Source organism: Homo sapiens, chromosome 4 (genome assembly GCF_000001405.40).
Source record: "Homo sapiens chromosome 4, GRCh38.p14 Primary Assembly".
In the NCBI taxonomy this organism is placed as follows: domain Eukaryota; kingdom Metazoa; phylum Chordata; class Mammalia; order Primates; family Hominidae; genus Homo; species Homo sapiens.
In genome coordinates this window covers 186,784,315-186,802,426 of record NC_000004.12, presented here as the reverse complement: position 1 = coordinate 186,802,426, position 18,112 = coordinate 186,784,315, and positions in this window count along the sequence as shown.

Sequence of the window (18,112 nt, the reverse complement as noted above, 5' to 3'; positions counted from 1 at the left end):
TTTGGTCACCTCCAACATCCACGGGGGCCCAGATCTCCCTTAGCTCTAGCCTGAACTTTTGAAGCGTCTGCCCAAGTAGGTCTTCCCACCTCTGGAATCTCTCAACCCTAAACCATCATCCATGGCGCTGCTGGAGGGGTGATACTCTTCCTGTTTAAAACCTGTCATTGGCTTCCATCACTCTGTTGGGACAACAGAGTTCCTCTTCAAAGACTCAACTTCCTGGTCCTAAGTTGTAAACAATCCTACCCCCTCTCCTGTTAAGCCTAACCGTTTCTTCTTTGTCTTCCCCCCACCCCCCTTTAAAACCCAAGTTTACCCTATTGGGAAAATTTAAACTTAAGTCAATTGGGATCAGCTTAGATTGTGCTGTCCAACCCCAGCCAATAGGGGAAGGACACAGAAACAGGAACTGTGTTAGGGTTAAAAATCCCTTCCTTCCTTTGTTCGGTGTGCTCTTGCAATTGTAACAGGTGCAGGCAACACCCTTCTGCAGAAGTAAAGGTGCCTTGCTGAGGAGGAATTTTCTGTCAAAGTGAGGATTTCTTTTGGCTACACCGAGCACTTGTTTCCAACAAATTACAATTGTACCTCTGCCCGTAGTCATTCAGTCTCTGCCCTCACCAACTTCCCTCTGGACCCTCCTGGCTGCTTCTAGCCTCTCTCCCACCACCCCCACTCCCAGCATGCCTTGCTGGTTCTTACCTCTGCAGAGAGGCTTTGCCTTATAAACACATGCTAATGCCTTAATACCTAGCTCAGAAACTACATCCTCTTGTCTAGAAAATCTTTACTGTGATCCACACACTATCATATCCTATGCTGCTGATGTATCACGTTATATGGAAAATCATTGGTTAGATGTCAGCCTACTATTTCAGGAGTTCCTTAATTCCACAACGGTATTTACCTTGATACCTCTAGCCCCAGTCTAGTGTGGGGTACACAGCAAACCTTCAACAAGTGTTTATTGAATGAATAACTGAATAATTCAATGTTATAGTTTAGTAAATCCCTGGCAAATACCTTCTGTAATGGTCTGATCAATTATTTAATAAAACTATTTGGCATTCTGTGTAAGATACTATGTCAGGCACTGTCGTAGGATACAAAACTGAACAAGGTGTGGCAAAGTACTTGTGCTTTGGGAGAGAAGATAACTAATATGCACAGGCCACTGCACTCAAAGTATAAAGGATAAAGCCCTATAGGTCCCATAAAAAATGGAAGCAGGCCAGGCTCACCCCTGTAATCCCAGCACTTTGGGAGGCCGAGGCGGGAGGATCACAAGGTCAGGAGATCGAGACCATCCTGGCTAACACAGTGAAACCCCATCTCTACTAAAAATAGAAAAAAAAATAGCTGGGTGTGGTGGTGGGCGCCTGTAGTCCCAGCTACTCAGGAGGCAGAGGCAGGAGAATCGCTTGAATCCTGGAGGTGGAGGTTGCAGTGAGCCAAGATCACGCCACTGCACTCAAGCCTGGGTGACAGAGTGAGACTCCGTCTCAAAAAAAAAAAAGTAAGCAAATTTTTCTGCAAATTAGCAGAGGAATAGAGAAGGTTTCAGGAAGGAGGTGTGAAACTTTTTAGTGAGATGCAAAATACTTCATCCAACAAGTTGTCCAAAAGCTGTTAAATGATGTTCATATTTTTGAATGAACATTTCACTCCTTTTTACTATCCTTTTATCTAATGTTCAAAAACGCCTTTCTTATAGCTGAGAACATGAAACTGAAGAAATGCTAAAGATATGATAGTCCAACAACCTTATTTATTTATTTTTCGAAACAGGGTCTCGCTCTGTCGCTCAGGCTGGGGTGCAGTGGTGCGATCTTGGCTCACTGCAACCTCCGCCTCCTGGGTTCAAGTGATTCTACTGCCTCAGCCACCTGAGTAGCTGGAATTATAGATGCCTGCCACCAAGCCTGGCTAATTTTTGTATTTTTAATAGAGATGGGGTTTTGTCATGTTGTCCAGGCTGGTCTCAAACTCCTGACCTCAGGTAATCCGCCCACCTCGGCCTCCCAAAGTGCTGGGATTACAGGCGTGAGCCACTGCACCCAGTCTCGACTGCCTTATTTTATGAAGAAAGAGCAGAATTAGAGCTCAGATCTTCTTTAATTCTATAACTCCAGAATGATATTCTACCTCTGATTTTAAGAATTAACTCAATATGTTGCTTTTTGATTTGTGGTAACTCCAGACACTGACCCTAAGGACATTTCTGTCCTAAACTGTGGATAGAAAAGAAAATTGAAAGAGAAAATTTTGCTTGAATCCAGGACTACATCGTATTATTATAAGTTTACTTCAAAATGTACTATTCATACAGCTGCCTTTTAAATGTTAATTACAGAAAAAATATTAAGATGAATATCAAACTAATATTATTTAACTCTGACAATAAAGTAACTTCAAAATTGTTTGAAATATGGATAACATATCATGTTTTATTTGTTTCTCTATGGACTTTTAAGCATATGGCAAATTATATGTATAGAAAATACAGAAATGACAGAAAATAATGTATCATTTTAAATAATACAACTCTGTATAGGGTTTTCATTGGTAAATGAGATTGATAGAAACAGAATTCATTCAGTCATTCAAAGATATTATTTTGTGCCTTCTATGTATAAGGCACAGTGATGTATAAACAAAATAATCTGTTAGTGCTTTTAATATCTATGTGAAAATTGAGATTAGATAACTCCCTTCTGCCTGTTATAGTTAGGAATAACATTTTATACTTGGAAATAACATTGTTTACTCAGACTTCATAAATTCATTCTCATTTGTACATACCAAAAAGAGTCCTCTTCCAACACTAGCATTTGGCAAAATTATGCATGTTATTGTTTCATTGTGCATTGCACTGAACAGCTAGGTGGAGAAAAGATCTAACACCATCACAATGGAGTGTCTGAGATGGAAAATCCCCACCTCTTTCTGCAGATAGTTAGATTTACCAAGTAATCTTCTACTGAAAACCAAAGAGAAAAAAAATCCCTAATTCAACATAAACCACAACTCGGAAGTAAACTTTGTGGTGAAATTCTTCAACTTGGTTTTATTCAGTTAATCACTTAAAAATTGAAAGAAGGTGTTCAAAACTTATTTTAAGTTTTGAGTCATATTCAGGCTCAAGCAAAAGCATTTGTAAAGCACACATTGACATGAGAACCACAAGATAAAACAAATCTGATAGCCTCTTTCCTTGGAGTTTGACCCAAGGGGTAACTATCTTCAGAGTAAATGTGAAAGTACTAAAGCCGTGATGTATTAGCATGTGGAGGGGTAAATGCTGGATACAAGATAACAGTTAAGTGAAAACTTGAGAGGTGGTGACTTAGCACCAATCTGCTGTGAAAAATCATCCGTCATATCCTTGAAAATATTTCTAGTGTCTGTTGCCAAGTATGTCCTCTCCCAAGGAAATCTGGAAGTAAATATGACGACAGTTATAGGTTTTGTCTATAGCTATGGTTGCCAGACTTTGAATTTCATAGACCAATAAGAATTTAAATATAAATTTGGGGATTAATGTACAGTTGCCAAACTTTAAAGCTTGTGGTCAGGTAAGAACATTTTGAAAAGAAAAAAATCATTTTAGCAATGATCTTTTTTTTAGAAAAGGATGTTCTAGCCATAAAATAGTGAAAACAGTACAATACCAGAATAAAGAACAATCTTTCAACTTGAAAAAAAAACTTAAATTCCACAGTATTATCCTAACTTTCCTTATTTCAAGACAGACTGAAGTCTTCAACTCATTAAGTGGTTAGGAGCTACTGAAGGAAGGGAGAGAAGAGAAAAAGATTCAAGGAAAACTTCGTTGAGCAAAAACTGAGCAAAGACTATCTTACTCTGGAACAAACATTTCCTGAAACTAGGAATTGGTTTACTTACAATGGCTCCTCACTGGTACAAGAATAGCTATAGGGAAACCAACTCACTGGGTCTAATGAGATCCTCACTCCTGCCTTAAAGTTCTAAACTCCTGATGGTATGATAGTGTTTATTTTAACATGTTGTTCAGTTTCTCGGCAGATAATAAAACCGGAACTAAGATATGTGGGGCTTACTAATGCTGTAGCTTTCTTTATAGAGTTCCCAAGAAAGACTTTCAAAATGTCCTTTCTAAGATATATTCAAGAAGAAAACTGCTGGTGCTGCATAATACTTGATTCCAGACCATCCATAATCTTGCTCTCAGGTGAACCCAAGTCTTCCCAGTTGGCATTCTAGCAGCACCTATCATGCCAGGTCCTAGGACGCGCCAGGTCCTAGGCACTGGCAATACCAAGTTGACCTGCAAGTGACTAAAAGCAGATATGCGCACTGAAGTAATAGAGGCTGACAGTGATTTATTTAAAGCCTGATTATGAATATTCCTTAACAATACTGCATAATAATTTAGAAATATATTTTTGGAATTGAAATCCAAAATCACCTTAATCTCCAAGCCATGTTAGGTAATTATAACAACAGCAACAATTGTTACCCTATATAGAAAGCAATATGCTGGCCGGGCGTGGTGGCTCACGCCTGTAATCCCAGCATTTTGGGAGGCTGAGGTGGGTGGATCACTTGAGGCCAGAAGTTCAACACCAGTTTGGCCAACATGGTGAAACCTCCTCTCTACTAAAAATACAAATACTAGCCAAAGGTAGTGGCAGGTGCCTGTAGTCCCAGCTGCTCAAGAGGCTGAGGAACGAGAATCACTTGAACCCGGGAGGTGGAGGTTGCAGTGAGCTGAGATCGCGCCACTGCACTCCAGCCTGGGTGACACAGTGAGTCCCTGTCTCTCAAAAAAAAAAAAAAAAAAAAGAAAAAAAAGAAAAGGAAAGAAAAGAGAAAAGAGAAATCAGCCAAAAGAAAAAAAATAAGTTGAAAAACATTTTGAATATATAAATAAGACACCTCTTGCGCTAATCTAGATTTTGAAAGCTTTTCTCCCTCGTGAGCCAGTATTTGGCAATGCACAGGATTCGGAGAGAACCTATGTAGTACAATCTGTGTGGAGCCTTTCAAGATACCAAGTTGAGGACAATGAACACACCTTGAACAGCCACAAATGATGCGGCCACAGTAACACTAAAAACAAGAGAAAATCATACGCTGTATTGTTAGTAAGTTGTAGACACATAACTTAGTCAATAAAGCTTACATTTTGGACAACCACCATAGTATAAATGTTAAGAGATCTTCCCTCACATCAGTGCACTTTGGAGTTAACAATAGTGGCTATGACATTCCATATATAGTATGAATGTCTCAAGAACATAACGGCAGCAATGGTACCATTTAACTTAGCACTCTTTTTGTCCTTCACACATCCTCTGTTAAGAAGTAAATTATTGTGCTCAAGAAAAGAGTTCGTGATATTAAATTAACAGATATAAGCTAAGCACTTCAGCTGGAAACGCCACCTTTGGAGTTATATCTTTTATAAATTCGTATTGGAAGTTCTGAAAAAATCAATTTTAACCTTGTACAGGAACCCACAACACAAGAATCATGAAGTGTGTGGAGACAGAAAGGAGCCATAAGCCAAAGAAGGGAAAATATGTGGAATTGCGAGGGTGAAAACCATAAATCTTAGCTACATTAGTTCAATTTCCATAGTAAATCAACTTTTGATTTTTTTATACTCTATATACGTTTCTACCATTATTAAAACAATAAATAACATCCAAGAAAAGAAGTAAAACTTATTCCTTAAAAATCCAATTTTATTAAAAGAAAATAAAATCTTATTTTGGAATACAGCAATTATTTGGCTTATGTGAACATACAGTGTTGGATGCGTAATGCTAATAATTCACCTAACCCCTAAAGGAGAAGTTAGTTGTTTTATAAGAGTAGTTCATGTCCCATTGATCTTCCCTTATTTTTTCAGAGACACATCGTCATGCAAATCTGGACTCACATTTTTGAACCTCAGCTTCTTCACCCAGATAATTATGACAACAGTCCTCACCTCCAAGGATTGATCTGTGAGTTAAATGAAATAATGTACATGAATGCTTATCGCCTTCAGCATTTAAAAATATTAATAGTAGTAGCAGCAGTAGCAAGAGTTGTAATGTGAAAGTACATGGATGAGAAAGAGGGGAAGCACCTGAATTAAATTTTTCATGACATTAGGCATGATAATCCGATTCATCAATCTCACAAATAGTATGCTGCTGCCCGTGGGGTCAAATAGTCCGTGCAGACAGACATTCTGGAATCTTTCTTCATTAGGAATGTCTTTGCTAATAGGATAGAAATAATTGAAGTCTGTTGACCAAAGGCTCTTGTCCTGGTTCTTCCTGGCTCTGCCATTATTTCTTTTTTTTTTTTTTTTTTTGAGACACAGTCTTCCTCTGTTGCCCAGGCTGGAGTGCAGTGGTACGATCTCGGCTCACGGAAACCTCTGCCTCCTGGGTTCAAGTGATTCTCCTACCTCAGCCTCCCAAGTAGCTGGGACTACAGGCACATGCCACCACGCCCAGCTAATTTTTGTATTTTAGTAGAGAGGGGGTTTCACCATATTGGCCAGGCTGGTCTCGAACTCCTGACCTTGTGATCCATCTGCCTTGGCCTCCAAAAGTGCTGGGATTGCAGGCATGAGCCACTGCACCCGGCCACCATTATTTCTTTAATTTTCATTTTCTAGTCTTCCAACGTTGCCCAATCTCTCTTTTCATTGATAATTGCTACTGTTTTTTTAATGTATTACCACCCTCACAGCAGTTAGAGTCTCACAAACTCAAAAGTAATTTTCCTTTCTCCCTGTCATGAAATGATCAATTCACAAGTTGATCTTATAGCTTAATTTTCTAGAGGGAAATATTTTCCTCTCCATTTCAAGTTATGGAGTTCAGGACACACTACCCTGAAACATGGCAGCTTTAGCATTTGAGGAAACAGCAGAAACAAGAAGGTCTCTCTGACCTTCTCCCACTCTCCTCCCCTGATGCAGGCCATAAACGAATTCTCATGAGAGATATACTCTCCTATACCCAGAGGAAAGTGATGTTCCTATCTCTGAGGACAGAGAAGGATCTGAACAAACAGGCCTTGCTAAGTTTTCCCAGTTTGCTGCCATTAGAGCACACCTCTTATGCAATCAAACTTCTGCATGAAGCCCACTGTTCATCTAACCTCAACATAAAAACATACATTTTCCTGTTTCTTTGGGTCTTCATTCTGAAATCTTCTGTGTCACATAAAACTTATATTGAATAAATGTGTATGCTTTTCTCTTGCTAATCTGCCTTTTATTATAGGTGCCTCAGCCCTGAACCTAATGATGGGCAAGAAAAGATATTCCTGCTTCTACCCTACACAACTCTAAGGGGACAGCACACTGAAACCCTCCCAAACTGTCAAGAAGATCTGAAAAAGTCAATCACTTTTGCTTTGCACATATTTGATATTAGCACAGCATGAATCCCAGTTTGAGCCCGCATTAAGTTAAGCCTAGGATTCGACATGGGCCCATGCCTAAGACCTAGGGAAAGGAACTGCAACGGAACAATGTCCGAAACCCAAGGCTGCTTATTACAATCTCGTTCAGAACAAAAGTGCAACCAGGCCGAGCGCGGTGGCTCACGCCTGTAATCCCACCACTTTGGGAGGCTGAGGCTGGTGGATCACGACGTCAGGAGTTCAAGACCAGCCTGGCCAACATGGTGAAACCCTGTCTCTACTAAAAATACAAAAAGTAGCCGAGTGTGGTGGCGGGTGCCTGTAATCCCAGCTACTCAGGAGGCTGAGGCAGGAGAATCGCTTGAACCCAGGACGCGGAGGTTGCAGTGAGCCAAGATCGCGCCACTGCACTCCAGCCTGAGTGACAGAGCAAGACTCTGTCTCAAAAAAAAAAATAAAATAAAAAAATAAAAGCGCGACCAGACAGCACTGCTTTCTCATTTCTGCAAGAGTGTAGTTCAAGTCAAAGTCAGAACTGTGATGCCCTAGACTGCCGAAAATTGTTGGACCAACAACTGCCGGGAAGCCCAGGGGAGGCCTGGTAGGCAGGCAGAGGCCCATGAGGAAGAGCTCTCAGCCAGTGCCACTCAGCAGAGCCCTCTGCATGGAATTAATCACAACAAAGAGAAAGAAGGACCCAGAAGAAAAATCCAAACACCTCATGGAGTCTCCCCGAAGAGCAGCCCCCAAAGGAAAATCCAAACACCTCATGGAGTCTCCCCAAAGAGCATCCCCCAAAGGAATCGAAAAGAATTGGAGCTGGTTGGGATTTCCATAGTGTGTGCCAGGGAGACGGTAAATCATTACTTTGATTCTGCTATACTAGCTTTGTTTTTACCTCCAGGCAGCTGTGAAAGAGGTAAATATGGAATACATTAACATATTATTTCAGAAAATTGTAGCCATTAGGCTCAGCTTGCTTTTTTTTTTTTCTTTGAGACAAAGTCTCACTCTGTCACCCAGGCTACAGTGCGGAGGTGCCATCATAATTCACTGCAGCTTCAAACTCCCAGCCTCAAGGAACCCTCGAGTCTTAGCTTCCAGAGTAGCTGGGACTACAGGCACATGCCACTACTGCTGGCTAATTTTTAAATTTTTTGTACAGACAGGGTCCTGCTATGTTGCCTAGGCTGGTCTTGAACTCCTGGCCTCAAGCAATCCTCCTGCCTTGGCTTCTCAGTGTTGGGATTACAGGCATGAGCCACAGTGACCAGCCAGGCTCAGCTCTTTAAAACCATTTCCTCATCCTTCATAATAAGCCATAGTTTGGACATAGGGACTTCTCTGGTTATGTCAAAGAATATTTCACAGTCCAACCAAAAAACCAAGTTAAAGGATTAGAACACAGTTCTCTATTCTTTCAAATTACCATTTTTGTGTACATTATCAAACCAGCCAGTTGTCAAGAACGTGGACACTAAAATAAAATGCATCTGTTCAAACACCAGCGAAAGCTCTTATAGCTGTACAACCCTGAACAAATTCTTTAATTTCTGGTGTCTCACTGTCCTCATTTGTAAAGTGAAGCTAATAATTTTAGCTACCTTATGGTTGTGTTGTAAGGATGAAAAGGGTTAATGCATTTAAAGCACTTAGACCAATGCCAGGCACCTACTTAAGCTTAGCTCGGTAAAAGTTAGCTAATAATGAAATACACATTCATTCTGTGGTAAGAGACCAGCAGGATTTGCTTTCTGGTCATAACCCTGCTGACCAAAACAGGATCTGGTCCAGAGAGGAGAAACTGAAGAAATCAGCAGAAACCAACAGATGGCAGAGAGGCTGATCCCTGGCTGCCCTCATTGCTTAGTTGCATAAGATACTTCCACCAGCACCATCACAGTTTACAAATGCCATGGCAACAAACCAGAAGTTACCATCCCTTCCATGGCCACCACCAAGAAGTTACCATCCCTTTCCTGGAACATCCTAAATAACCCACTCCTCAATTTGCATTAACCTGCCCCTGAGTTTGCATAGAATTGAAGTGTGTAAAAGTGAGTGTAAATATAGCTGCCAATAGCCCATATGTTGCTGACTCTGGGCCCACTGCCTATGAGTTAGCCCTGCTCCACTAGGAGCAGTACCAGTCAATAAAAGATTGCTAACACTACTGGCATGTCCTTGAATTCTTTCCTGAGCAAAGCCAAGAACCCTCCTGAGCTAAGCCCCTATTTTGGGGCATCAATTCCACGAGTACTTGTGGAGTGCATGTACATGATGAACACTTTTGCACACTGGAGATATGGGAGAGAACAAACTATACAAGATGATCTTCCTCAGGGAGCTTATATTCTAAATATTCTCTAAGTGGATCAATAGCTCAATACTCCAGTGTACCATAGTTAAATACTTCCATACAATCAGGTATTCAGAGTTCATAGCTTCCCGTTGTTACAAATAGCATTAGTAACAATCAAAATGTCTGCCTAGATTTTGAATTTTTTTAGAATGGACATCCAGAAATTGAACTATTGGGTCAAAAGTTTCCGACATTATTTCAAGGAATATATACCTGGTCTTTAAAATAATTCAGTTAGCATCTATCTGTAAAATATAAACATGTAAATGTATATCAAAATGTAGTGAAATAAAGTTTACTGAAAATATTGTTAGTTCATTTTGGAAATTAGATAAAATTATGATTCCTGACACTCTAATTTCTGACCACGTAGAGAATAAATTTAGTCTTTGGTAAAGTATACCTAAGACCTAAGCTAAGCTAATATAGTTCGTTACACTGTCCTCAAAGAATAGCTTTGCACAGCAAAATCTTTTCTGGAGGGTAGAGTTTATGTACAAGTGATGTACTGTGATTGGAGAAAATTGTGTGAATTTCCAATATTCAGATATATGTAAAAGCTTCAAGAAATAATATGTTTCTTGGACACAGTGAGGGGAACAACACACACTGGGGCCAGTTGGAGAGTGGGGAACTAGGGGAGAGAGAACATTAGGACAAATAGCTAACGCATGAGGGGCTTAAAACCTAGATGACAGGTTGTAGGTGCAGCAAACCACCATGGCACACGTATACCTATGTAACAAATCTACACGTTCTGCACTTCTAAAGTAAAATTTAAAAAAAGAAGAAATAATGTGTTTCAAAGCATGAATGACCCATATTAAAAAAATTTTCAGTGTCCTACTTAACCACAGACAACTTAGATTGTGGAATACCACACATTCATGGGTCAGAAAAAAAGAAATTGAACCATGTAGAAATTGAATCACGCCTGTAATTCTAGCACTTTGGGAGGCCGAGGCAGGCAGATCACAAGGTCAGGAGATCGAGACCATCCTGGCTAACGTGGTGAAACCCCGTCTCTACTAAAAATACCAAAAAAAAAAAAAAAAAAAAAGAAAAAAAGAAAAAATTAGCCTGGGGTGGTGGCGGGTGCCTGTAGTCCCAGCTACTCGGGAGGCTGAGGCAGGAGAATGGCGTGAACCCGGGAGGCGGAGCTTGCAGCGAGCCGAGATGGCGCCACTGCAGTCCAGCCTGGGGGACAGAGCGAGACTCCGTCTCAAAAAAGAAAAAAAAAAAAAAGAAAAGTACCATCCGAAGTTGGTTAAGGTGTGGGGAAACAGGAATTCTCATATGCTTCTGGTGAGTGTGCCAATTAGCACAACCTTTCAAAAGGCAGCTACTGATTAGCAACAAGGGTTTGGCATCAGGAAGGCCTGAGTCCCACTTCTGGTTTTCTTACTTACTGGTTATATGACCTTCGTCAATATTTTAAGTCCTTTAAGCCCCTTTATCTTTATTATTATGATTATTTATTAATTTTTGTAGAGACCAGGTCTCGCTGCCCAGGTTACTCTCAAACTCCTGGGCTCAAGCAGCCCTCCTGCCTTGGCCTCCAAAAGTCCTGGGATTCCAGGCATGAGCCACCATGCCCAACGAAGCCTTATTTTCTAACCATCTTTAAAATGGGTATGATGATAACACTCAATCTGAAATGCTGTCATCAAGACTGAGACACAGAGCTCAGTGCACTGTAAGCATTCCTAAGTTTGGTTTTATTATGATCATGATTAAATATTCTGGTTTGCCAATACAAACAAAAGCCTTTAAATTAAACATTAGCTTTTGCCCCAGAAATTCCACTTTTAGGAATTCAGCCTAAAGAAATAATTAAGGACACCCACAATGATTTAACTGCCAGAACATTGTGGAATTCCAGAATCATAATTCTGAACATTGGCTGTGTGTGTTCAGTCCTGGAGCTGGAGCCAGAAGGTACAATGAGACACTGTAGTGACTAGGTCTTACCTGCTGTTCACAGCCTTTCTCTGATTCTAAGTAGAATGAAGAACATTAAATTTCGATTATGAGATTTTATTTGTTTGATGACTTCATGATTTTGATTATGAGAATGATCTGGAATAGCAGACTTGAAATTTAGAAGAAAAACATTTAAAAATAATCTTCTATTTGAAAGTTTTATTGACGCTTTAAGTTTGGGTTTTTTCCTCATCTCCAGTGAAGAAATGCTTTTAACTGACAATAATTAATAACAAGATTAGCCCTAGGAGAGTGTATACTTTGTATAATTTCCTAAACCCCATGTTAAAAATCCACTGGTTTGTTTGTTAAACATGCAGATCCATGTTTTCATCCCAGGCCAGCTAAATCAGAATCCTGGACAGGGGCTTGGAAATCTGTCCTGTTTCAAAGCACCCAGGCTATAGTTTCAGTTCCAGTCCCTGGGAAATGAGGAGCACCAGTCCATCAAGGAGAGCAGTCCAGGTCTTCTCAGGGGGTTGGAAGGTTCAAGGCTGTGGACAGTCATGGCATTATTTGAAAAGAGAAATATAGAAATGAATTATTTATAAAGGAAAATAGAAATAGATTTTTTATTGCACTGTTCTTGCTTTCAAGGATCTATTAGATGACTTGAAATAGTGTCACTTACGCCTGCATCTGTTTCTGCACATGGAGTTTACAGGATTCTAGCAGTGGGTCTTTCTTAAAGAGTTTCATCGACAAAGAATGTTCATATAAGCATTTCATTCTTTGAGGGGCACTTTCTTGTAAACTCTTATATCCCTTACAAAAATCCAGCAGCTGTCCAGCCTAGCTCTGGCAAAGGGTTTCATTTTTCTCTCTCCACTCTCTTCACTGGTGTAAGCCTTACATTTATTGTCAGAGATGAATGCAATTGAAAGATTGGCTTTCAAAAGGCAAATATGGTCCACTCCATGGCAACCATTCTGTAGAGCTGAGGAATCTCTTCCGCATTCTTTCTACATTGTGAATTATTTCTCTTTTAGGTTGTTTAAGATTACAAAAAAAAAGAGTTTAATAATTCATTTTAGCTTTAACATCACTTTCTCAAGCAAGTCAACTTCAAAAAAAAGTCAGAGTAGCCTGTTAGTAACCCAGACTGTCTGATCATAGACCTGTTAACAGAAGGTGGACCTTAGAGACCTGTTAAAAGAAGGCGGACCTTTGCTTTGGTGCCTTCCATAGACAATGCCTTGAAAATCAGGTGTTTAAAGATGACAGTTCAAGAAAGCTCCCGATGGAAGGCAGAGAAAGAGGTAGTAGTTCCAGCAAATATGAAATTTCTTAATTGAACAAAGGTGTAATATGTGCATGGAGGCAACTCATATAATGTTAGATATATGTGTTTTTGTCTATATAGTACGATATGAAAACATATTAATCTATATAATTATTCTGCATATATGTTAAAAAGATTTTACATTAATGACAAAACAATTTTACTTTCAACGAAGTTTTGCTTTTCTTCTATATTCTAATATCCAAAATCCAGGCTAATATGTAAAATCTGAAAGCATGCATTTTTTTAATTCATCTTGGACAACCTGGCACCAACTATCCCAGCCACCCTACCTCATCTCCTGTTTTCCCCAGTCACACCTACCCACCTACACACAAATTGCCCATATGTAAGCAGGTAAAATCTTCTGATGCAATTCTCATTAACTGTAATTCCCTCTCTCCCCTTTCAGCTGTCATATCCAGATCTTAACCTGAGATTCCTCAGCTTTACAAAGGGCATTACGTTTCTGCCCAGTGCCTCCCTCTGTCTCTCACAGTCCAGGCATCCTTGGAGCAGTAGGCCAGCCTCCTAGCCTGGAAGAGTGAGAAGTTCCAGCCAGGGTTCAAAGGAGTAGTAAAACTCCAGGAGAATGTTCTCTGAAGTGTGCATCTGGGAATCTTGGGACAGAGAGATGGCCTGTGGGAGGAAAAGATGAGGAGAGCTAAAGTGGGGAAGCAAGGAGGGGATAGAGCAAAGGGATGGCTGTAAAATGTAGCCACAGCTGGCCATGTGTGCCAAGAGCCTGGCATTAAGCCCCTCAGGCCTGCATGCAGACCACAACCTCTTTAGGCAAATGGGGAGGCTGGGAAGGGACATTTTTTATATGTTCTTACCCAATGCCTTGAGCATTCTTTGAAAGGTAAATTGTTTTCAAAGGCCCCATTGTCCCAATAACCTACTGTTCTCATTTACAAATTTAAAATAAAATAAATATTGGTGTTCCATTACTAAAGAAATTTAAGAAATATTTTTTAACCTGCAAAATTACACTTTGGCATAAGCACATTTTCTATAAAGAGTAAATAACGTGGCCGGGTGCAGTGGCTCATGCCTGTAATCCCAGCAATTTGGGAGGCCAAGGTGGGCAGATCACCTGAAGTCGGGAGTTCGAGACCACCCTGGCCAACATGGTGAAACCCCATTTCTACTAAAAATACAAAAGATAGCCATGGGTGGTGGTGGGTGCCTGTAATCCCAGCTACTCGAGAGGCTGAGGCAGGAGAATCACTTGAACCCGGGAGGCGGAGGTTACAGTGAGCCAAGATCGCGTCATTGCTCTGCAGCCTGGGCAACAAAGTGAGACCCCATCTCCAAAAGAAAAAAAAAGTAAATAACTGTAAATATTGCCTGTCTTAGTTTACTCGAGAGGAATCTCTGTAGCTAACTATTAAATAGGAGCTGCACTAGGGGCAGGGATATCAGGGGAGGTGAAAAAACAGAAAGGACAAGCCAAAGGCGGATGGCACAATTCACTCCAGCAGTTCAGAGAGTTCACAGTCTCAGCGAGGGCCTGCCTGTCTCCTTAGTGATGGAAATGGAAGATAGGCAGAGGCACTTTTGGTATTGAAGATTCTGTATGGCTGGGAACAAAGTGCCTTGACCTGCATTCTGCCTGACATTGCCTAGGCGGGGCCAACTCCTCTGCCCTGCTGGGCCAGTACCACCTGCTGTTTCATGAGATCTGCAACATGCGCACACTCCTTCACATGCAACAAGACACTATTATATGATTCATCTGGAAACTCTATCTCACATCTCTGTCCTGTTTTTGGAGCTGTCTTTTCAACATCTCTCTTCTCCTCCAGCCACCTGAGTATTTTCTCCGTTCAAAATCCAGGAGATCTGTTTTGTGCTTCTCACTCTATCCACTCTCCAGAGACAATCTCATCCATTCCCATAGCTTCACTGATGATCTTTACATCCAAAACATCCTCCCCCAAGTCTTCCTCTTGGAGTTGTCTTGATTTCTAGGCCCTAATGCCCAGCTGTGCACTGGATGACTGCTCTGCCATACCCAGCAGACCCCTCAAACACGATGTCAATAATGGAACTCATCATTGTCCACCCTCCCCAAAGGCTGAGTCCCCCATCTCAGCAAAATGCTATTACTATTGCACTGGGAATTCACCCTGGGCCTTTCATTTCTATTCACCAGACTCATGTTTCTCCTACACACACATCTAAACAATCACTTGGTCCTGTCATTCTGAAGAATTCTACAGTTCTCTATCCCACTGTTTCAAGCCCAGTCCACACTAACATCATCTCTTGCCTCTGTGGAAGATTCTAACTACTGTTTCTATATTATCTTCTGCCCTCGTTAGCCTCCACCCAAAAGATCCAGAACATTCTTTCTGAAAAAGGCAAAACTCAGGTCGGGTGCAGTGGCTCATGACTGTAATCCCAGCACTTTGGGAAGCCAAGGCAGGTGGATCAGCTGCGGTCAGGAGTTCGAGACCAGCCTGGCCAACATGATGAAACCCCATCTCTACTAAAAATACAGAAATTAGCCGGACTTGGTGGCGCGTGCCTGCAGTCTCAGCTACTCAGGAGGCTGAGGCAGGAGAACTGCTTGAACCCAGGAGGCAGAGGTTACAGTGAACCGAGATTGCACCACTGTACTCCAGCCTAGGTGACAGAGCAAGACTCTGTCTCAAAAAAAAAAAAAAAAAAAAGCAAAACTCAGCAAGCCAATTCCCCTCTATAGTATGTCAACACTTTCTAGTTATTCACGGGTTCAAATACAAAAGTCTTAATATTGCATGAAAGAAAGGCTTTGCCTAGCTTTAGCTGAATGTTGCTATTCTCTCTACCAGCATCATTTTCATTTTTCTTTATTGTTTTTAAGTACCAAGCTCCAACTCACCTCAGTGTTTACTTCTATTCCAGATTGTTCTCTCAGCTTAAACCTAACTTCACCTCAACCCTTGCTTTGGCCTGGCTATTTTTTCTTAGCATTGGTAATAATATCATTTTTAAGAAGTAAACAAGAAAACAGAGCTGTGGTTTGAATGTCTGTGCCCCTCCACATTTCATATGTGGGCACCGAATCCACAATGCAACAGTATTAAGAGGTGGGGCCTTTAGGAGTGATTAGGCCATGAGGCCTCCACTCTCCTGGGTGGGATCAGTGCCTTCAAAAGAGCTGGAGGGAAACAGGTAGCCCTTTCTGCCCTTCCACTTTTTGCCACACGCACAGTTTGTCTTCTCCAGAGGACACAGCAACAAGGCACCATCTTGAAAGCAGAGAAAGCAGCCTTCAGAAGACACCAAATGCTGGCACCTTGAGCCAACACTTCCCTTCCCCAGAACCTGAGAACATCAATTTCTGCTTTTTAAGAATTACCCAGTCTCAGGTGTTTTGTTAGAGCAACCTGAACAGACTAAAACAACAAATAAACAATAAATGACTCAAATAAAAAGTGAGCAAAAGACCTTAATAGACATTTCTCAAAATAAGACATACAAATGGTCAGCAGGTATGTAGAAAGGTGCCCAACATCACAAATCATCAGGGAAATGCAAATCAAAACCACGAGTTATCACCCCATACCTGTCAGAATGGCAGTGATTATTAATAAAAAGATAAGTGGGCTGAGGCGCGGTGGCTCATGCCTGTAATCCCAGCACTTTTGGGAGGCTGAGGCAGGCAGAGGTCAAGAGTTTGAGACCAGCCTGACCAACATGGTGAAACCCCATCTCTACTAAAACTACAAAATTAGCTGGGCATGGTGGCAGGTGCCTGTAGTCCCAGCTACTTAGGAAGCTGAGGTAGCAGAATCACTTGAACCTGGGAGGTGGAGGTTGCAGTGAGCCAAGATTGTGCCATTGTACTCCAGCCTGGGCAACAAGAGTGAAACTCTGTCTCAAAAATAAATAAATAGATAATTGTTGGTGAGGATGTAGAGAAAAGAGAATCCTTGTATTCTGTTGGCATGAATATAAATTAGTAAGTCATTATGGAAAACAGTATGGAAGTCGTTAAGAAATTAAAAATAGAGCTACCATATGATCCGGCCATCCCACTTCTGGAGATATGTTCAAAGGAAATGAGATCAGTGTGCTGAAGAGATAGCTGCACTCCCATGCTCATTGCTGAGTTTCTCATAATAGACAAGATATGGAATTCCAAGACACTGAGGAATCAACGTCAGCATCCATCACTGGATGAAAACATTTTTAAAATGCGATAAAATCAATACATAGAAACAGAGAAGAACGGTGGTTCCCAGGGACTGGGAAGTGGGGGAAATGGGGAGATGTAGATCAAAGAGTGTGAAGCTGCAGTTAAATAGGAAGAATGTACCTAGAGCTCTCATGAGGACTTCAGTTAATAATGTTGAATTGTATACTAGAAATTTGCAGCAACAGTAATTTTAGATATTCTAACCACACACAAAAGGGAAAGGTAACTATGTGAGATGGTGGTTATTTTAATTTACTTGAGTGAAGTAATCACATCACTATGTGTATGTATATCAAAACATATTGTACACCTTAAATATACACAATAAAAAATGTGGTATGTGTACATGCAATGGGATAGTATTCAGCTTTAACAAAAAGAGAAAAGAAATTCTGTTATTTGCAGCAATATGGATGGACCTGGAGGACACTGTGCTAAGTAAAATGAGCCAGGCACGAAAAGACAAACACCACATGCTCTCACTTATCTGTGGAATCTTAGAAAAGCTGAACTCATAGAAGCAGAGAGTAGAATGGTGTTTACCAGGAACTGGGGAAGCAGCGTGGGGTGTAGGTGAGGGGGATACGGCGAGATGCTGGTCAATGAGAACAAAGGTTCAGTTAGACAGTAGGAATGAGCTCTGGAGATCTGCACAACACGGTGATCATAGTTAATAATCATGTATTGTATTCCAGCAGCTGCTAAGAGAGTAGATTTAAATGTTCTCACTACACACAAAAAAGATAAGTATATGAAGTGATGGATATGTTAATTAGCTTCATTTAATCATTTCACAGCCTATACATAGATCAAAACATCCCATTGTGCACTGTAAATATATGTAATTTTTATTTGTCAAATATATCTTAATAGAGCT